A 21,629-nucleotide genomic window follows, 5' to 3' on the forward strand; every position below is an offset into this window, starting at 1 on the left:
GTGTCGGCGGGAAAGAAATATGCCTGCCCCTTTAAGAAGGCGGAGACGCCCCAGTGGCGGCGTCTTCGAATGCGGCCTAAGGCGCCTGCCGCCAGTCTCCTGGCGACTTTCCCTATATCGCAGAGACTCATCCCTCTGACCCCAGCCCGGAAGCACTGTCCCTCGGAGTCCGAGACTTCCACCTGGGTCGTGTCCAAGGCCCCGGCGACTCCCCGGACTCGGGGTGCCGGGCCAACCTCCCCGCCGAGGCCCACCCGCCGTCGCTATGGTAATGCCGCGCCCAGCTTGGGGGCTGGCGGGCCGCAGGGCCCCCTGGCCTCCGGAACTGCTCATGGGGTTCCAGCCCCTCGCCCGCGCAAGTTGCAGGACCGGGGTCTGGGTGGGGGTTCGGCGGAGTCGGGAGACCTGGGCTGTCGTCAGGGCTTGTCATGGACGCGCCGGAGACCCTGAGAAAGCATTCTCCTCCCCCGGGCCTCAGTTTCCCTCCTGTTGCCTTCCTACCCTCCTGGGAAACCCCCCTTTCCAGTGCGCTCAGACGTCACTACCGCTTGGGTCCATCCCTTTCCCCTCCCCGCCCCACACTTTCTACTTTTTTTTTTTTTTTTTTTGGACGAAGTCTCGTTCTGTCGCCCAGGCTGGAGTGCAGTGGCGTGATCTCTGCTCACTGCAACCGTCGTCTCCCGCCCACCCCTTTCACTCTGACCCTTAGAGTCTTGGGAACTGTATCGCCAGCTGTAGCTCCTGCGGCTCTGGCATCTGGGGTTAGGCACCACCTCTGATCTGGGTTTGACACTCATCAGGAACTGGCTACAGCAGCCCTGCTGGCTAGAAAGAAGGAACCGTGGACTGGGGCATCCTACTCTCCTGGGACCCTAGTTTTTGGGCCTTGGATTAGGTAGGGAAACTACTGGCTTCATTTGCAGAAACAATGCCACTGTGCAGACATGTTTGGATTTATGGTAGTTTCTCTTATGTTTGACATAAGATTGGTCAGGCGAAACCTTTGGGATATTGCAAAATCCTTAGGCCCAAGCCAGGGGCCGTGGCTGACACCTGTTTTTGTTTGTTTGTTTTTTTGAGACAGAGTCTCACTCTGTGGCCCAGGCTGAAGTGCAGTGGTGCGATCTCCGCTCACTGCAACCTCCACTTCCCAGGTTCAAGCAATTCTCCTGCCTTAGACTCCCAACAAGCTGGGATTACAGGCGGGCACCACCACCCCAGCTAACTTATTTCTATTTTTAGTAGAGACGAGGTTTCACTTTGTTGGCCAGGCTGTTCTTGAACTCCTGGCCTCAGGTGGTCCACCCGCCTTGGCGTCACAAAGTGCTGGGATTACAGGAGTGAGCCACCATGCCCAGCCTGTGGCTGACACCTATAATCCCAGCACTTTGGAGGCCACAGTGGGAGGATCACTTGAGCCCAGGAGTTCAAGACTGGCCTGGGCAATGTAGTGAGGCCCCGTATCTATAAAAATTTAAAAATTAGCCTGGGCGCAGTGGCTCACGCCTGTAATCCCAGCACTTTGGGAGGCTGAGGTGGGCAGATCACAAGGTCAGGAGTTCAAGACCAGCCTGGCTAACATGGTGAAACCCTGTCTCAACTAAAAATACAAAAAAAAATAGCCAGGCATTGTGGCTTGGCCTGTAATCCCAGCTACTTGGGAGGCTAAGGCAGGAGAATTGCTTGAACCTGGAAGGTGGAGGTTGCAGTGAGCCAAAATCGTGCCGCTGGACTTCAGCCTGGGCAACAGAGCAAGACTCCGTCTCAGGAAGAAAAAAAAAAAAAGAAAATTAGCTGAGCACGGTGGTGCACACCTGTAGTCCCAGTTACTCAGGAGGTTGAGGTGGGAGGGTCACTTGAGCCTAGGAGATTGAGGCTGCAGTGAGCTATGATCTTGCCACTGCACTCCAGTCTGGGCAATAGGGCAAGACCCTGTCTCAAAACAAAAGACAAAAACAAAATGTTTACGCCCATGTGCACAGTCCTGGAGAACTGCCCTTGCTCCCCTAGGCAGCCTTCCCTTTGCCCCCTTTCTTCCCTTCCAGGATTAGTGCAGATGGTTCTGAGTGGATTATGTTACAAGAAAGTTTTTTAATCTTTCTTTCCTTTTTTTTTTTTAAGACAGAGTCTTGCTCTGTCGCCCAGGCTGGAGTTCAGTGGTGCAATCTTGGCTCACTGCAACCTCTACCTCCCGGGTTCAAGCAATTCTCCTGCCTTAGCCTTCCAAGTAGCTGAGATCACAGGCATGCTCCACTAGGCCCGGCTAATTTTTTTTTTTTTAAAGACAGAGTCTTGCCCTGTCGCCCAGGCTGGTGTGCAGTGGTGCGATCTCGGCTCACTGCAACCTCTGCCTCCCAGTTCAAGCGATTCTCCTGCCTCAGCCTCCTGAGTAGCTGGGATTACAGATGCCCACCACCACGCCCAGCTAATTTTTTGTATTTTTAGTAGAGACAGGGTTTCAATATGTTGGCCAGGCTGGTCTCGAACGCCTGACCTTGTGATCCGCCCCCACCTCAACCTCCCAAAGTTCTGAGATTATAGGTGTGAGCCACCACGCCCGACCAAATTTTGTATTTTAAGTAGAGATGGGGTTTCACTGTGTTGGTCAGGCTGGTCTTGAACTCCTGACCTCAGGTGATTCACCAGCTTTGGCCTCCCAAAGTGTTGGGATTATAGGCATGAGCCACCGTGCCTGGCAGAAAGTGTTTTAATCTTTTTCTAAGAGGCGGGTCTCACTATGTTGCCCAGCCTAGCCTCAAACTCCTGGGCTCTAGGGATCCACCCACCTCAGCCTCCCAAGTAGCTGGGACTGCAGGAATGAGCCACTGCACACAGCTAAGTAAGTTTTTTAGAATACTTGGGTCTTTTTTTTTTTTTTTTTTGATACAGACTCACTCTGTCGCCCAGGCTGGAGTGCAACCTCTGCCTCCTGGGTTCAAGCGATTCTCCTGCCTCAGCCTCCCGAGTAGCTGGGATTACAGGCATGAGCCACCATGCCCAGCTAACTTTTGTATTTTTAGTAGAGACAAGGTTTCTCCATGTTGGCCAGGTTGGTCTCGAACTCCTGACCTCAGGAGATCCACCTGCCTCGGCCTCCCAAAGTGCTGGGATTACAGGCATGAGTCACCACGCCCGGCCCTAGATTGTTTAAGTCTTTAACGAAATCCCATTTCTTCTCATTCCTTAGTCCTTTCCCAGCCGTAGCAAAAACAAACAAAAAACAATATACCTGATGGTATTGTTAGTGCTGGGAAGAAGCAGAGTGAGGACAGAATGTGCTTGCAAATGGTATTTCTCAACCCCAGTTGGTTTTTTTTCTTTTCAGGCGTGCAGTTTGCAGAAGCTGTTTGCTGTGGAAGAGGAGTTTGAAGATGAGGTAGGGAAGTGTTGATGATCAGAGGTGGCAGACGAGGTCTTAAAATGTAAACACTCAGGTTCAGAACATTTTGGATTAGCCTGTACCAGCCTCCTTTTAGTTGACATGTGTATGTTTTTGCCTGTGAGGTGCTGAGAAGTGATGAGAAGTGTAAACAACCTACTTAACTGTCTTAGAAACAAAAAACCAGAGCAATGAATTGCCTAATTGTCATACCTTTAAATTATAAGGGCTCTTTCCTGGAAGCTGTGTCATCTAGCTGATTTAATTCACCTCTATGATAACATACTTGCAGTGGGAAGGGCTGTGTATGTAGAGCCAGAACCATGTAAGAGATAGCATAGTTACTGGATGGCAGGAGGCCAGGGGTCAGCAATTGGCTATGTGAATCAGGGCAAGTTACTTTATTCTCTGGTCTTCTGTTTTCTCTTCTACAATATGAGGGATGCTCTTCTGCCTCAGATGTTCTTCCCTTCCCTCTGTCTAATCACAAGATGAGGGGTGAGACTAGATCCAAAGCTCGCACGTTAGAATTACCCTTGTCTAGGCTCTACCACACACCAATTAAATCAGAATTTCTGGGAATGGCCCAGCCAGGGATATTTCTTTTTTTTCCTTTTCTTCAACATTTATTTTAAGTTCAGGGGTACACGTGCAGGTTTGTTACATAGGTAAACATGTGCCATGGTGGTTTGCTGCACAGATCATCCCATCACCTAGGTAATAAGCCCAGCATGCATTAGCTATTCTTCCTGATGCTCTCCACCTCCCTGCCCCCGGCAGCCCCCACTGTGTGAACTTCTTTCTTTTTTTGGAGACAGGATCTCTTTCTGTCACCCAGGCTGGAGTGCAATGGCACAATCACGGCTCACTGCAACCTCAACCTCCCAGGCATAAGTGATCCTCCCACCTCAGCCTCCTCAGTAGCTGGGCCTACAGGTGTGTGCCACCATGCCCAGCTAATTTTTCGTTTTTTTGTAGAGACAGGGTCTTACTAAGTTGCCCAGGCTGGTCTCAAATTCCTGGGCTCAAATGATCCTTCTGCCTCGGCCTCCCAAAGTGCTGGGATTACAGGTGTGAGCCAGTGGGCCCGTCCTGATTTTTGCTTTTACAAATAATTCACAACTGCCAGTTTTGTCAAGGAGATGTGTCCTTGTCTTTGTCTTTCAGCTTTGGAGATATGTGATTACAGGCTGAAAAAGTGACTGTTAAAATGACCCTCTTGGGTCTTACAAGGTGATGATGGGACTGCTAAGTGAGTAATGGAATTAGAGTAAAGGAATCTGACAGCTGAAGTTTCTGTTCCTTGAAAATGGCAGATCAGTCCCTTCCCCCTTCCTAAAGCAGATGATGTCATGTCTGAGAGTGAGCTCTTTGGGAGAAAAAAGACCATCAACCTCCAGAGTCATCAGGATTTTATTACTGCTATAGTTCTGGTTATTATTATTATTGTTGAGTCCTGTGGTTGTCCTGCCTGAGTATGGGACTCACTTAATAATACACAAAGCAGGAAAAAGCCTTTCTGTAGCCCAGACAATCCAGTGCAGTAGCAGAGGGTGGGGGTGGTGGGGACCCTCCTGTCAGTTAAATCAGCAGTTCTGACTCAAAACCACCCTCAGAACAGGTCTGTTGCTCTTGAAGGTGTCAATCTCACCTTGCTTCCCAACTGGAATCCATACTTTATTTAGCTTGCCTGAAAAGCTATATTTAACTTCTGCCTTTTTTGCTGGCTCCAAGTCCTCTCTGGCTTACTGAAGGGTAGCTATCTCTGTGTAGTGTGTGTGTGTGTGTGTGTGAGAGAGAGAGAGAGAAAGAGAGCACACGAGTGTGTATTGGGGATGAGGAGTGAGCTAAGGACAGGCAGCATGACCAGCTGGATAGATCCCTGTTTAGATAACAGGCCAGACACCAGAAAGTGGTCTCCTTGAGATGGTTGTTGTGTGACCTAGGGTGATTTGTCTGACTTCTTGGTTCCCTGGAACGTTTGCTTCTCCTGCTGTTCTCCTCTAACTGCCCCTCTCCCCACCCATGAAGACTGAAGAAAGAGGTTACCTGAAGACTTAGCCTTAGATTGGAGTGTTTTTGATAGAGCCTTGTGTAGGGCCATGGGTGAGGTCAGAGGTGGTAAGAGACACCACTATTGGCTTTCATGCTTTGGTTTCTTTTTCTTTTTCTTTTCTTTCTTTTTTTTTTTTTTTTTTGAGACAGAGTCTCACTTTGTCACCCAGGCTGGAGTACAGTGGCACCATCTCAGCTCACTGCCAACCTCTGCCTCTCAGGTTGAAGTGATTCTCCTGCCTCAGCCTCCCGAGTAGCTGGAACTACAGGTGTGCACCCCCATGCCCAGCTAATTTTTTTATTTTTAGTAGAGACGGTTTCGCCACGTTGGCCAGGCTGGTCTCGAACTCCTGACCTCAAGTGATCCTCCTACCTTGGCCTCCCAAAGTGCTGGGATTACAGGCATGAGCCACCATGCCCGACCCTCATGCTTTGGTTTCTTTCAAGTATCTACACACAAACATACACGCCATGTGCCTGAACAGTAAAAGCAGAGGGGTTCTTGATTTCCAGATGCCAAGACCTACCATCTCTGCTTCCTTGTAGGATTTCTTGTCTGCTGTGGAGGATGCAGAGAACCGGTTTACTGGCTCACTGCCTGTGAATGCTGGGCGCCTGAGACCTGTCTCTTCTAGGCCACAGGAGACTGTGCAGGCACAGTCCTCCAGGCTGCTGCTGTTACACCCCACTGCTCCCTCAGAGGCTTTGGGCCTGCCAGACTTGGACCTCTGCCTCCCTGCCTCCAGCACGCCCAGTGCTGACAGCCGTCCATCATGCATAGGAGCAGCTCCCCTAAGGCCTGTCTCTACTTCCAGCAGCTGGATTGGCAATCAGAGAAGAGTGACAGTGACAGAAGTGCTCAGAGAGACAGCAAGACCTCAGTCCTCAGCCTTACACCCCCTACTCACCTTTGAGAGCCAACAGCAGCAAGTTGGTGGCTTTGAGGGGCCTGAACAAGACGAATTTGATAAAGTCCTGGCAAGCATGGAGTTGGAGGAGCCTGGCATGGAGCTGGAATGTGGAGTCAGCAGTGAGGCCATACCAATCCTGCCTGCCCAGCAGCGGGAGGGTTCAGTATTGGCTAAAAAAGCCCGGGTAGTTGATCTGAGTGGATCTTGCCAGAAGGGGCCTGTGCCTGCCATCCACAAAGCGGGTATCATGTCCGCCCAGGATGAGTCTCTAGATCCTGTCATCCAATGTAGGACTCCACGACCCCCCTTGAGACCTGGTGCTGTGGGTCACCTTCCTGTTCCAACTGCCTTAACAGTTCCCACTCAGCAACTCCACTGGGAAGTCTGTCCGCAACGCTCCCCTGTTCAAGCACTTCAGCCTCTCCAAGCTGCTAGAGGGACCATTCAGAGCAGCCCTCAAAATCGTTTCCCTTGTCAGCCATTCCAGTCTCCAAGTTCCTGGTTAAGTGGCAAAGCTCATTTACCCAGACCTCGAACTCCCAACTCAAGCTGTTCTACTCCCTCAAGGACTAGCTCTGGATTATTTCCTCGGATACCCTTACAACCGCAAGCTCCAGTGTCTTCCATTGGGTCTCCTGTTGGTACCCCAAAAGGTCCCCAGGGAGCTCTGCAGACACCCATAGTCACCAACCACCTGGTGCAGCTAGTCACTGCTGCCAGCCGGACACCCCAGCAGCCCACCCATCCCTCCACCCGAGCCAAAACTCGCCGTTTCCCTGGCCCAGCTGGGATCCTGCCTCACCAGGTGAGTGAGCTGGCTTTCTAGGATTTGGTGGGCAAGGGAGAGAAGCAGGGTTCCAGCACTGTCCAGCCCTAGCATATCTTCCCTCTTGCAGAGAAGGAAGGAAGGAAGTGCAGAGAGGCTTTTCAAAGCTGCAGGAGAAATAAAAGGGAAGAACTGAATGCTAGAAAATCCACTGTGAAGAAGTGCTTAAGGCTCTGAGGACATCATAATTTTCTTTTTTCTTCTCCTTTTTTTTTTTTGAGATGGAGTCTTGCTGCAACATCCAGGCTGGAGTGCAGTGGCGCAATCTCAGCTCACTGAAACCTCTGCCTCCTGGGTTTAAGCGATTCTCCTGCCTCAGCCTCTTGAGTAGCTGGGACTACAGGCCCCCGCCACCATGCCTGGCTAATTTTTGTGTTTTTGGTAGAGACAGAGTTTCACCATATTGGCCAGGCTGGTCTCGAACTCCTGACCTCAAGTGATCTGCCCGCCTCGGCCTCCCAAAGTGCTGGGATTATAGGCGTGAGCCACCACGCCTGACCCTCTTTTCCTTTTTTTAAGAAGACCCTCTTTTCCTTTTTTTAAGAATTAGAGATTGGCTATGTTGCTCAGGCTGGTCATGAACTAGGCTCAAGCCATTCTCCCGCCTTAGCCTCCCATATAGCTGGGACTACAGGTGTGCACTAGGGCAGGAAGTCATTCTTGTGCATTTGTTAAGGTCTTATGTGTTGGACAATTTGCTTGGAACTGAGAATACAGAGATTAAAAGAAACAGTTCCTGTCCTAAAGAACTTACAGTGAAATGGAAGAAACAGATGTAAACAAACAAACATGCACAAAGCACACAGTGTGAACAGGGGTCATTCCCTGGGTGCTGGGAAGACACTGGCTCTGCCTTAGGCTTGCTGAGTGGGCTTTGGATGGATGAGTAGGAGGTTAACAGGTGTGTGGCGGAGCGGGCGCTGTGCTCTGTGGATGTTCTGGCAGTGGGAAAGCAGGGAAGAGCATGTGTAAGGGCACAGAGGCAGAAGAGCAAGGTGCTCTCAGATCCACAGAACAGTTCATTGTGGCAGGTGTGGGGAAGCTGGGGCTGAAAAGGAGACAGCCCTGGTGAGACTTGGATTAAACTAGTCTTGGATCAGATCCCAGATAATTGGACTCTGAGGATCTGGACTGGTTGTGATAGGTGTGCCCTCTTCCTCCCATTTTAAGGGTGTTTGAAACAATTTCTGCCTGTTACTTGCTCTTCCCTAGCATGTTAGCAGATATCCAAAGAGGCCGTCTATGTTCCTCCTGGGCTGGATCTCCCTGGAGGAAAGGGTTAGGACTTGGGGAAAGCTGCCCCTTTGCTCATCACAGGCCTCTCAATTTTTCTTTCTTTCTTTCTTTTTTTTTTTTTTTAAGACAGAGTCTTGCTCTCTCGTCCAGGCAGGAGTGCAGTGGCACAATCTCGGCTCACTGCAACCTCCACCTCCCAGCTTCAAGTGATTCTCCTGCCTCAGCCTTCCAAGTAGCTGGCATTACAGGCATGGGCCACCACGCCTGGCTAATTTTTGTATTTTTGGTAGAGATGGGGGTTTCTCCATGTTGGCCAGGCTGGTCTCGAACTCCTGACCTCAGGTGATCCACCCGCCTCAGCCTCCCAAAGTGCTGGGATTACAGGTGTGAGCCGCCACGCCCAGCCAGGCCTCTCTATTTGGGTCACTGCCCCCTTCAGGCAGCCCTGGTTTTTGCACCTGGGCGAGCTCCGGCTTCCTCACGTTTTCAAACCAATCCCCAAAGTATCTTTTTTGAGCTGCCAAAGAGGCTCCTGAGACTTTGTTAGGAGAGATGTAATATGTGTTAATAGTCCCTGATCATTTCCTGAACTCATTATGTAAACCAGACAATAAGCTGTACTTGTAAATAACAGCTGCTAAGCTTGCTCTCATCTTCTCCTTCCCTCCCCTCTTAGCAGAGTGGGAGAAGTCTGGAGGACATCATGGTTTCCGCGCCCCAAACTCCAACCCATGGTGCTCTGGCTAAATTCCAGACAGAGGTAACTTATGCAAATGTTAACTTTCTGGGTGTGATTTGAGAGTGAGGGGCGTCCCTGTGTGTTTCAGGAGTTAAGAATCAAGAGCTGATGCTGCTAGGCCTGTTTGCTGGTGTCACACACTAAAAGGCATTTGAGGCAGGTAGTTGGGGGAGGCAGCAATTTTACTGGCATTAAGTGAGGCCTGTCCTGGTGCCAGGTAGGTATTATCTGATGCCATGGGTCCAGCCTTCTTTCCCATCTAAGAAATAAAGGCCCAGCTAGCTCCAGCTTCCCCTGGGGGAGGAGACTGTGATAAGTATTATGAGATTGTGTCTCAGGAGCCCTTCCTCTCAGGTTTCTGAGAACTGAGCTGGGAAGGATCTGCCTTCTCTTGCCTTTGCTGGGTTCCCTTTGGTGGGTGAGACCCTGCTTCCCTTCTCCTTGGGGTTCTGGTTGACCTGCTCTGCCCTCAAACCCAGTTTTGCTTTTAATTCTCCCCAGTATTTTTTCTCTGCTGTAGCTCCGCAGATCTGCCAGTCCATTTCAGATCCAAAGCAGCAGATACTCTCTGGATTCAAAGCATGTATTAATGTAAGAAGGTTAATTGTTAAAGCTAGAAGCATGCCAAATAGAATATGACTGGTTTCAAAATGGCTAAGCCACTCTGGAAGCCTATAAATATATGTGGTGGATCCCTACCCCTAAGACTTTTTGAGTCTGTTACAAAAAATAAGCGTAGATAGCCTTCTGCTTCAATGCAGTTAAAGTCAGGAGCTGATTTTATTTTATTTTATTTTATTATGTTATTTTATGTTATTTTATTTTATTTTATTTTATTTTTGAGACGGATTCTCGCTCTGTTGCCCAGGCTGGAGTGCAGTGTCGTGATCTCGGCTCACTGCAACCTCCGCCTCCTGGGTTCAGGCTATTCTCCTGCCTCAGCCTCCTGAGTAGCTGGGACTGCAGGCGTGTGCCACCATGCCTGGCTAATTTTTGTATTTTTAGTAGAGACGGGGTTTCACCATGTTAGCCAGGATGGTCTCCATCTTCTGACCTCATGATCTGCCCGCCTTGGCCTCCCAAAGTGCTGGGGTAACAGGTGTGAGCCACTGCGCCCAGTCAATTTTTGTATTTTTAGTAGAGACGAGGTTTCACCATGTTGGCCAGGCTGGTCTCGAACTCTTGTCTTCAGGTGATCCACCCGCCTCGGCCTTCCAAAGTGCTGGGATAACAGGTGTGAGCCACCGCGTCTGGCCCAGGAGCTGATTTTATTAAAAATTTGTTTTTCATACCTAGTCCTGCAGACAGGACCTGATTTTAAAAAGAAAAAAAAAGAGTATCTGCTGAATGAAACCTGTGATACGCGACAAGATTTTCACGTGCTTCAAATGCCAAAGCAATCAGAAAAAAAAAAAAGAAAAAGAGAAAAAAAAGATGTCACATACCATTTTCTGGCCTTGGAGATAAATGAGAGGAGAGACTGTGGCCATTGTACTACAGTTTTTCCGAGGGGATTTGCCTTTCCTCTCTCACCCTTCCACCCTGTTTCAATCAAGAGTCTGTAGCAAGGTAGACCTATTCATACAGGCTCCCCCTCTGCTCTGTGGTACCAGATTGTTGCTAGTTCCCAGGCATCTGTGGAGGAGGATTTTGGGCGAGGGCCCTGGCTGACCATGAAATCCACGCTAGGCCTGGATGAGAGAGACCCTAGCTGCTTCCTCTGTACCTACAGCATTGTCATGGTGCTGCGCAAGGTAAGGATTCTGGGTGCTGAGACCCAAAGGAAAGACCATTTTTCTCCCTCTCTCTGACCTACTGCCCTACTCCACCTTAGGAAGGGGCTGTTTGCTCCCTCGTACCCTATACAAGTAGCAGCACGAAGCCCCTTTGGTTGTATCTTCCACTTACCTACCTTTTCACTGTCATCCATAGGATTGGGCCCAGGTGGAAGGAGAGAGTGGGTTATGGTATGCCTCTGCACTTCCAGGCCCTGGGTGGGGTGGGGTGAGCACACTGCCACCCTCAAATCTCCCTAGTGGTTAAGGGTTGTGTGCAGAGACATGCCAGTACATGTGCCAACATATCCCTGCCTGTGACTGTTATGATGGAACATTGTGTAAACACATATAAACAAAAGAAAGTGCTGGACACAGTGGCTCACACCTGTAATCCCAGCATTTTAGGAGGCTGAGGTGGAAGGATCACAAAGGTCAGGAGTTCGAGACCAGCCTGGGCAACAAAGCGAGACCCTGTCTCTACAAAAAAATACAAAAAAAAAAAATCAGCTGGATGTGGTGGCACATGTCTTATAGTCCCAGCTACTAGGGAGGCTGAGGCCAGAGGATCACTTGATCTTAGGAGGTTGAGGCTACAGTGAACTATGATCGTGCCACTGCCCTCCAGCCGGGGCAATAGAGCGAGAGCTTGTCTCCTTTAAAAAAAACCCAAGGCCGGGCGTGGTGGCTCACACCTATAATCTTGAGAGGTCAAGGCGGGCGGATCACCTGAGGTCGCGAGTTCAAGACCAGCCTGACCAACCTGGAGAAACCCTGTCTCTACTAAAAATACAAAATTAGCCGGACGTGTTGGCACATGCCTGTAATTCTAGCTACTCAGGAGGCTGAGGCAGGAGAATTGCTTGAACCTGGAAGGCAGAAGTTGCGGTGAGCCAAGATGTGCCATTGCACTCTAGCCTGGGCAATAAGAGTGAAACTCCGACTCAAGAAAAAAACAAAAACCAAACAGGTCAGGCGGGGTGGGTCACGCCTGTAATCCCAGCACTTTGGGAGGCTGAGGCGGGCAGATCACTTGAGGTCAGGAGTTCGAGACCAGCCTGGCCAACATGGTGAAACCCCCTCTATTGAAAATACAAAAATTAGCCAGGCTTGGTGGCACACGCCTGTAAGTCCAGCTACTCAGGAAGCTGAGGCTGGAGCATCGCTTGAACCCAGAGGCGGAGGTTGCAATGAGCCAAGGTCGTGCCATGGTACTCCAGCCTGGGCGACAGAGCGAGACTCCATCTCAAAAATAAAAAAATAGGCCGGGTGCGGTGGCTCATGCCTGTAATCCCAGCACTTTGGGAGGCCGAGGTGGGTGGATCACGAGGTCAGGAGTTCAAGACAAGCCTGGCCAACATGGTGAAACCCTGTCTCTACTAAAAATACAAAAATTAGCCGGGCGTGGTGGTGGGCGCCTGTAATCCCAGCTACTTGGGAGCCTGAGGCAGGAGAATCGCTTGAAACCAGAAGGTGGAGGTTGCAGTGAGCCAAGATTGTGCCATTGCACCCAGCCTGGGAGCGAAACTCCCTCTCAAAAAATAAAAAAGAACGGAGGCAGGGGAGAGAAATGAAGGACCTCCCAGCTCTAGGTCTGTCAGAGAGAGATGGGGTACCTCCTTGTCCTCCACAAAGAAGATCATCACTATAACTATACTCTGACCCCTCCTAACCCCGGTTGCCCTGGCACACTTGGAGACCTGGGAAGTCACAAGTGGGCCGTGGAAGGCTCAGCATATGCCTCTCCTTGTAAGCAGGCAGCCCTGAAGCAGCTTCCTAGGAACAAGGTCCCCAACATGGCGGTGATGATCAAGTCCCTGACTCGGAGCACAATGGACGCCAGTGTGGTTTTCAAGGACCCCACGGGTAAGGAATTAGGTCCTAGGTTGTCTGGTGAGTGGGCTCCATTGAGGCCAGGAAATGAGGTGGAATCACCCTCTCCCTTTGCAGACAGGAAAACTGAGGCAGTGAGCAGCCCACTTCCCAGCCAGGGCCCATACCAGTCGCTGTGCTGCCCTTGACCCCGAGACTGATGGGCCATGTGGTATTTGCAGGAGAGATGCAGGGGACGGTGCACAGGTTGCTGCTGGAGACGTGCCAGAATGAGCTGAAGCCTGGCTCAGTGCTGCTGCTGAAGCAGGTATGGGGAGCAGCTCTCCACACCACTGCCCCCCGGATAGAGCCCTCAGTGTCTGTCTCCTTACCTGTTTGGCTGCCTTCCTCTACAACACCAGGCACGGAGTGGCTGAACCATTGCTAGGCCCTGGCTTGAGCTCAGGGAAGGCCTGTGGCCCTTGAGCTGGCCCCCATTCTTCAGGGTGGATAGGGATGGAGGGTTGTGTTAAGGGGAGATTGTGGCAAATGGTTCTCTTCTGGCACCAAGGCTAGGCAGAGGACACCAAGTGAAAGGCAGGTGGGAGCCAGGTGTCCATCTGGCAGCTCCCAGTGCTCCATCAGGACACTGACCTTCCCTTTCCTTGACTCCAGATTGGAGTGTTTTCTCCTTCACTTCGAAATCACTACCTCAACGTGACACCCAACAACCTGGTCCATATTTACAGCCCGGATTCTGGGGATGGGAGCTTCCTCAAGCCATCTCAGCCCTTCCCCAAGGTAAGAGGAGCAGGAAGAAACGGGAGACTGGTAAGGCCCTCCTTCTGCCTGGATCTTCTGATTTCTTCCTCTCTTCCACCCTGGGGAGCAGAGGTCTGAAGGGGGCAGGTGCTCTGAGGTGAAAAGGTATCTTTGGGGACAGGACCATCTCCTATCCCTCATCCAGCCGCCTGGCAGATGGCTCAGTAACAGTACCTAGAGGAGCAGCTGGCTTCTTGGTGATCCCTGAGCATCTGATGGCAGGCTTGAACATCTGAGAGGATAGGAGTCACTTGAGAACTAACCAAGTGGAGGGCCCACCAGGGGGTGGTGGCAGTAAATGACCGAGGGTCAGATCTGCTACAGGTGGCAGTGTGGAGAACAGTGAGCTACAAATGGCCTGTCAGGTGAGCCAGCACCTGCTCTGTGTCTTCCCTCTTGGCATCTGCCTCTGCTAAATTAGGGGGAAGCTGCACAGAGCACTGGTGGGGACATCCTCTTTAGGAACCGAGACGAGCATTTGGCATTTATGGGAGGTAAGCATGGGCTTCCAGGCAGATCCACTCCAGGTTGAGAGTGTAGAGCCTGGGCTTGACTTGCCCTGCCCCCACCACCTTCCTAGGATCTTGTGTACTGAAAACGTGTACTGTGACCTTGGGCAAGTCCTGTTGCCTCCCTTGCAACAGCTTCATCTATAGTACGTTTGACTTGATGACCTCTAGTCATCTTAGACAGAGGTTTTCATCTAAGCTCCAACTTTCCACTTCCATTTTCCTCATCTTTCCCCTTAGCCCCTCCACATTCTCTCAAAATCACCCCACTTCTAAACCCTTTCTTTTTCTTTCTTTTCTTTTCTTTTTTTTTTGAGACAGTTTTGCTCTGTCACCCAGGCCAGAGTGCAGTGGCGTGACCTTGGCTCAATGCAACCTCTGCCTTCCAGATTCAAGCGATTCTCCCACCTCAGCCTCCCGAACAGCTGGGACCATGCCCAACTAAATCTTTTTGTATTTTTTAGTAGAGACAGAGTTTTGCCATATTGGCCAGGCTGGTCCCGAACTCCTGACCTCAGGTGATTGGCCTGCCTTGGCCTCCCAAAGTGCTGGGATTATAGGCATGAGCCACCGTGCTCGGCCTATTTTTCTTTTAAATTTCAAATTATCTATACTTATTGAAATAAATCAAAATAGCACAGAATAAGCAAAAAATGGGTCCTACCCTTCCCCACTCCTATTTCCTAGGACTAACCATGGTTAACCATTTAATTACCGGTATTTATTTATTTTTTTTTTTTGAAATGGAGTCTCACTCTGTCACCCAGGCTGTAGTGCAGTGGCATGTTCTCAGCTCACTGCAACTTCACCTCCCGGGTTCAAGTGATTCTCCTGCCTCAGCCTCCTGAGTAGCTGGGATTACAGGTGTGTGCCACCACACTCGGCTACTTTTTGTATTTTTAGTAGAGACGGGATTTCACCATGTTGGTCAGGCTGGTCTCGAACTCCTGACCTTGTGATCCACCTGCCTCAGCCTCCCAAAGTATTGGGATTACAGGCATGAACTAGGCGTGCCAGGCCCAGTTTTTGTGTTTTTAGTAGAGATGGGGTTTCACCATATTGGCCAGGCTAGTCTCAAACTCCCGACCTCAAGTGATCCTCCTGCCTTGGCCTCCCAAAGTGCTGGGATTACAGGTATCAGCCACCGTGCCTGGCCTTAATTACCAGTTTTAATTACCTGCCCATATATTAGCTATATATTCCTTTGGGGATTGTTAACAACTAATTTTAAATCTCAGGCTAACTCTTCAATGTATTTCTGAATGGCCTCTTCACTCTCTGCTCTAGTTATAGAGAATCTCTAAAATATTAGATACCAACAGAACTAGGAAAGCAAATCAGCCAAAAGAGGTTTGTTTTTTGTTTTGTTTATTATCTGCTGCTTTGGGTGTTTGGTGTTTCAGCTGCCTCCCTTCAGCATGGGCCTGGGTGGCTGGCCTCTGCCATACTCTTCCATCATGTTTCTTTTTTTTTTTTTTTTTTTTTTTTTGGAGCAAGGGTCTCACTCTGTCCCCCAGGCTGGAGTGCAGTGGCACGATATTGGCTCACTGCAACCTCTGCCTCCTGGGTTCAAGCGATTCTCATGCCTCAGCCTCCCGAGTAGCTAGGATTACAGGCGTGTGCCACCATGCCCGGCTCTGTTTTTGTATTTTTAGTAGAGATGTGGTTTCACCGTGTTGGCCAGGCTGGTCTCGAACTCCTGACCTCAAATGATTCACCCGCCTCGGCCTCCCAAAGGGCTGGGATTACAGGTGTGAGCCACCACACCTGGCCCCATCATGTTTCTTTCCTGAGCCCCACACTGTTCGTTTGAGGTTGTCTGGGTAGAGGTGGTGCCATCTGAAGGGATTTCAGGGACACAGGCATTGGTAACCAGATCCTCTGTCCCCAGGATTCAGGGAGCTTCCAGCATGATGTGGCTGCAAAGCCCGAGGAAGGCTTCAGAACAGCACAGAACCTAGAGGCAGAGGCGTCCCCTGAGGAAGAACTCCCAGAAGCAGGTAAAGCAGTCAGCCCATCTGGGAGCAAGAGAGGTTCTATTTCCTGTTGAATAGCTGAACCAGAATCTTCCTGGCTATATCTTGTTCCTCTTTCCATGAATCTTTGGATCTTATATAATCTTACAGAAATCAGATACAGTGTCTTGTTTGGCAAGGCTGCAGGCCACAAACTCGTTAACAGTGTGATGGGGCCATGTAAAACAAAGTGTCATCCACAGGTTTCCCCCATTTTCAGGTTATGTGCCATCAGCCACAAGGAGGAAACATCACCATCCCCTGTCCAGATGGACAGGCGCTATCTTTGTGCCACACTCTGAGTCCTCTGTGGGCTGATGACCAGACCACAGAGGCAGATTTCCCATCCTGAGTAAGCTTAGAGGAGTGCTGAGGAGTCAAGACGTCCACTGGTTTTTGGGAAAACCAGGCTACAAACCAGAGAGGCCCAAATGCAGACCCCTTGTGGTTGGGCCAGCTGCTTCCTCAGAAGGCAGCATCACCCAGGTGAAACTAACACCATTCAGGATCTAGTTTTAGCTTTTTTTACTTTAATTTTTATTTTTGCGACAGGGTCTCATTCTGTTGCCCAGGCTGGAGTGCAGTGTTATGAACACGCCTCACTGCATCCTCGGCCTCTAGGCTCAAGCAGTCCTCCCACCTCAGCCTCCCGAGTAGCTGGGACTATAGGTATGTGCCACTATGCCCAGCAATTTTTTTTTTTTTTTGAGACGGAGTCTCGCTCTGTCACCCAGGGTGAAGTGCAGTGGTGCGATCTCAGCTCACTGCAAGCTCCGCCTCCCGGGTTCATGCCATTCTCCTGCCTCAGCCTCCTGATTAGCTGGGACTACAGGCGCCCGCCACCATGCCCAGCTAATTTTTTGTGTATTTTTAGTAGAGACGGGGTTTCACTGTGTTAGCCAGGATGGTCTCGATCTCCTGACCTCGCGATCTGCCCGCCTCAGCCTCCCAAAGTGCTGGGATTACAGGCGTGAGCCACCGCGCCCGGCCATGCCCAGCAATTTTTAAATTTTTTGTAGAGACAGTTTTGCCATGTTGCCCAGGCTGGCCTCGAACTCTTGGGGCTCAAGCGATCCTTCTGTCTCTGCCTCCCAAAGTACTGGGATTAGAGGCATGACCTACCGTGCCCAGCCTGGTCTTTAGCTTTTCAATTCCAAAAATTCAATCCTGTCTGGCCCCAAAGTTCACAGGATTATATGTGGGCAGAAACCTACCCAGGTGCCGAGGCAAGAGACTGAAGGCACAAACTGTTCCAGTATAATACAGAAAATAGTTAGAATAAGAAAAGTTATACTAGAAATAGGATATAGAGATGATTATATATGGATATTACCAATCATTAGTTTTTAGTACTAATTTCTGTATTATTATTATAACTGAGAAAAAAACCAGCCAATATAGAGTCAAGAGCTGAAGGGACATTGTGAGAAGTGACCAGAAGACAAGAGTTGGGTGCCAGATGTAGGGTCCAGCCCTACTGGGCCTTGTGGGTTTTCTCTTCGTATGCAGAGACGAGAGATTATAGAAAAATAAGACACAAGACTAAGAGAAAGTAGGAAAGACAGCTGGGCCCAAGGGGCCACTACCACCAATGCGTGGAGTCCGGTAGTGGCCCCAAATGCCTGGATGCGCTGCTATTTATTGTATACAAGGCAAGGGGGCAGGGTAAGGAGTGTGAGTCATCTCAAAAGATTGATAAAGTCAAGCAAGTCACGTGTCCACGTGATGGGGGCCTTTCCCTTTGTGGTAGCTGAAGCAGAGAGGGAGGACAGCATATGTCAGCGTTTTTTCTGTGCACTTATCAGAGAAATCAAAGACTTTAATACTTTCACTAATTCACTACTGCTATCTTCCAAGAACTTAAAAGAAGAACCAGGTATACAGGCGGAACATGAAAGTGGACAAGGAGCGTGACCACTGAAGCACAGCATCACAGGGAGACGTTGAAGCCTCCAGATGATTGTGGGCAGGCCTGGCTAATGTCAGGCCTCCCACAAGAGCTGGTGGAGCAGTGTTCTCGAACTCCCCCAAGGAGAGTTCCCTTTCCCAGTCTGCTAAGTAACAGTTGCCTTCCCAGGCACTGGCGCTACCGCAAGACTGAGGTCTGCTAAGTAACGGGTGCCTTACCAGGCACTGGCGCTACTGCTAGACCAAGGTGTCATCAGGCAGCCCTTATCAGGGCGTGACAGAGGACTTTCACTCTTGTCTTCTGCTCACTTCTCACAATGTGCCTTCAGCTCCTGACTCTGTACTGGCTGTTTTTTTTCTCGGTTATAATGATAATACAGAGATTAGTATTAAAAACTAATGATTGGTAATATTCATATATAGCTGGGCACGGTGGCTCACTCCTGTAATCCCAGCACTTTGGGAGGCCAAGGTGGGCGGATCACGAGGTCAGGAGATCGAGACCATCCTGACTAACATGGTGAAACCCCGTCTCTACTAAAAATACACAAAAAATTAGCCAGGCGTGGTGGCGGGCGCCTGTAGTCCAGCTACTCGGGAGGCTGAGGCAGAAGAATGGCATGAACCTGGGAGGCGGAGCTTCCAGTGAGCCGAGATCGTGCCACTGCACTCCAGCCTGGGCGACAGAGTAAGACTCCATCTCAAAAATAAAAAAAATCCATATATAATCATCTCTATATCCTATTTCTAGTATAACTTTTCTTATTCTGTTTTCTTTATTATACTGGAACAGTTTGTGCCTTCAGTCTCTTGCCCTGGCACCTGGGTAGGTTTCCACCCACAATTATGGATAGGTGTTCTCACACTACCTAATTCACAGTATACCAATGGATAAACCACAAAGGCCATTATATCTTGTGAAAAAGCATATGTCTCTTATCCTGGAATCTTGCATTGCCTGGAAGCCTGCACTCTTTCTTTGTGAGACAAGCCAAGGCATCACCAGAAGGTTGCTGGTAGTGACAGAGAGTTGATTATAGAATATTAGGGCTGGTGGGCCGGGCATGGTGGCTCATGCCTCTAATCCCAGCACTTTGGGAGGCCAAGGCAGGTGGATCACGAGGTCAAGAGATCAAGACCATCTTGGCTAACACGGTGAAACCCCATCTCTACTAAAAATATAAAAAATTAGCCAGGCGTGGTGGTGGGCGCCTGTAAGTCCCAGCTACTCAGGAGGCTGAGGCAGGAGAATGGTGTGAACCCAGGAGGCGGAGCTTGCAGTGAGCCGAGATCACGCCACTGCACTCCAGCCTGGGCGACAGAGTGAGACTCTGTCTCAAAAAAAAAAAAAAAGTTTGTTTCAGGTAAAGTGGGGTTGATAACAGGAGCTAACTGGAGATGCCCTACCTATGAATGTTTATTGAGGCACAGAGCAAGCACTCAGTCAGTATTAGCTGCTGCTAGTAAATAATATTGCTAGGGATTATCGAGGTCAGCTGTGTCCAAGTTCTCGGACATAAGTACCACATCTGAGAACTGTAGTCTTACACAGGCACTTTGAGGAAGGGGGTGATATTTTCCACTGTCAGATGAGAAGCCAATTAAGGAACTGTGTAACTCTGAACACATCTGATGGCTTTTCCCAGCCCTCTTTCTCCTTCAGCCAATGAGAGTTGCACTAGGTGACCTCTGAAGCCTTCTTGTTTGGCACTATGACTGGATGGAAGGAGAGGAATCAGTGAGGCTCAGGGGAATCCTCTTCCTCGTCAGAATGGCCCAGGGATTACGCCCCCGCCTTTTGTCATGTACGGGTACAAGGGGAGCAGAGGGAAGATGGAAGTCAGGCCAGCCTCAGGCCCATTGGCATGGGTACCACTGCCTGGAGGAGCCGCCTGCCCAGCTATACAGCCAGGTCCAGGCCCTCCTGAAGGGCAGAAACTTTGGACCTGAGTCACATGGAATGCTGATGTTGTCACTAAGGCTACCCATCATTCCCCTCTCTGTAGATGACCTGGATGGACTCCTGAGTGAGCTTCCTGAAGACTTCTTCTGTGGGACCAGTAGTTGAGACTGCCCCAACGCAGGACAACCCACCATGAGCAGGCAGCTCTGGGCATGTGTCTGGTCACATCCAAGGGGGAGAAGAAGGCCAGCATGATTGGAGAGTGGACACAGCCGGGGGGCTTCTGTGGTTGCTCCCACCCTGGGTGTTTTCCCTGAGAGCCCCCTCATCTCTGCGCTGCCCTCACTTTGGGCCTTCCTTTGCCGTTGGCACCAGAATCCGGCCGGAGACTGGCTCTCCAGCCAACAAGAAAGGCCTGTCACCCTCGCCTTGGGTGTCCCTCTCCTGCCTCAGCTTAATTTTAGAGGATATTGGGCCTGGTTTTCTTGTCCCTTCATACCCTAGTCCCTGGACAGCTGAGGAGATGAAAGGAGCCACACCACAACAATGGCGGCCTGCCCCTCCACACAGGGGAGAAGCACGCTCAGGCTTCCTCTGCTTTGTCTCTTCAGACCTGTGGTTGCTCTGCTCATCCATGCCCAAGGTTCCCAGGTGCAGGACAGAGGTGTGGCCTATTGTACCTTGTTCTGAAATAAAGCATCTCCTGCTTCTTCTGCCTCCCTTTCTTTTCCACCCCCTGCTGCTCCTGCCTAACTGCCCTGCCAGTGCTGTGTGGCCACAAAAGGGCTCAGGCAACTCTTTTTCTCTTTTTTTTTCTTTTTTATATACTTTTAGACTTCTAAAATTTTTTTTTTGAGACGGAGTCTCGCTCTGTCACCCAGGCTGGAGTACAGTGGCGCTATCTCGGCTCACTGCAAGCTCCGTCTCCCGGGTTCATGCCTTTCTTCTGCCTCAGCCTCCCAAGTAGCTGGGACTACAGGCTCCTGCCACCACGCCCGGCTGATTTTTTTTTTTTTTTTTTTTTTTTAGTAGAGACGGGGTTTCACCGTGTTAGCCAGGATATTCTCAATCTCCTGACCTCATGATCCACCCCGCTTGGCCTCCCAAAGTGCTGGGATTACAGGCGTGAGCCACCATGCCCGGCCTTAGACTTCTAAATTTATAGATTTATTTATTGCAAAGATAGTACAGAGAGTTCCCACATACCCCACACCCAGTTTCCCAGTTAATATTATTTTATTTATTTATTTTTGAGCTGGAGTCTCGCTGTCGCCCAGGCTGGCGCAATCTCCGCTCACTGCAACCTCCACCTCCCAGGTTCAAGAGATTTTCCTGCCGGCTGGGCGCGGTGGCTCACACCTGTAATCCCAGCACTTTGGGAGGCCGAGGTGGGCGGATCATGAGGTCAGGAGTTCGAGACCAGCCTGGCCAACATGGTGAAACCCCGTCTCTATTAAAAATACAAAAATTAGCGGGGCGTAGTGGCACGCACCTGTAATCCCAGGTACTCAGGAGGCTGAGGCAGGATAATTGCTTGAACCCAGGAGGCAGAGGTTGCAGTGAGCCGAGATCACGCCACTGTACTCCAGCCTGGGCGCTGGGCGACAGAGCAAGACTCCGTCTCAAAAAAAAAAAGATTCTCCTGCCTCAGCCTCCGGAAGCTGGGGATTACAGGCACACGCCACCACACCAGCTCATTTTTTTTTTTTTTTGACATGCAGTTTCACTCTTGTCGCCCA

At 50.3% G+C, this 21,629-nt stretch overlaps 1 protein-coding gene across 33 annotated transcripts, besides 3 other annotated features; it reads left to right on the forward strand.

Annotated features, from left to right (window-relative positions):
* Window positions 53–20,599, forward strand: HROB (homologous recombination factor with OB-fold). Of its 33 annotated transcripts, none has more exons than NM_024032.5 (10): window positions 53–268; window positions 3,326–3,376; window positions 5,981–7,150; window positions 9,084–9,167; window positions 10,760–10,900; window positions 12,676–12,787; window positions 12,976–13,061; window positions 13,409–13,534; window positions 15,956–16,064; window positions 19,994–20,599. In NM_024032.5, exons 1-10 carry the CDS (start codon window positions 266–268, stop codon window positions 20,053–20,055), a joined length of 1,944 nt encoding a protein of 647 aa, NP_076937.2. In that variant the 5' UTR covers window positions 53–265; the 3' UTR covers window positions 20,056–20,599. The 33 variants fall into 33 exon arrangements, with proteins under 33 accessions (NP_076937.2, NP_001164722.1, XP_011523489.1 ...); NM_001171251.3 differs by having other exon boundaries at window positions 12,679–12,787; XM_011525187.3 differs by having other exon boundaries at window positions 9,087–9,167.
* Window positions 278–337: a silencer, noted in NCBI's record as "silent region_8576". NCBI's record gives its function as "represses an Ori minimal core promoter by ATAC-STARR-seq in GM12878 lymphoblastoid cells {active_cell/tissue: GM12878}" and the evidence as "EXISTENCE:reporter gene assay evidence [ECO:0000049][PMID:35858748]".
* Window positions 584–878: a silencer, noted in NCBI's record as "tiled region #5; HepG2 Repressive non-DNase unmatched - State 1:Tss, and K562 Repressive DNase unmatched - State 1:Tss". NCBI's record gives its function as "represses a minimal TATA promoter and a strong SV40 promoter by Sharpr-MPRA in HepG2 and K562 cells {active_cell/tissue: HepG2 | K562}" and the evidence as "EXISTENCE:reporter gene assay evidence [ECO:0000049][PMID:27701403]".
* Window positions 17,853–18,012: an enhancer, noted in NCBI's record as "active region_12254". NCBI's record gives its function as "activates an Ori minimal core promoter by ATAC-STARR-seq in GM12878 lymphoblastoid cells {active_cell/tissue: GM12878}" and the evidence as "EXISTENCE:reporter gene assay evidence [ECO:0000049][PMID:35858748]".
* Window positions 20,600–21,629: the final 1,030 nt, after the last annotated feature.

Source organism: Homo sapiens, chromosome 17 (genome assembly GCF_000001405.40).
Source record: "Homo sapiens chromosome 17, GRCh38.p14 Primary Assembly".
NCBI lineage: Eukaryota > Metazoa > Chordata > Mammalia > Primates > Hominidae > Homo > Homo sapiens.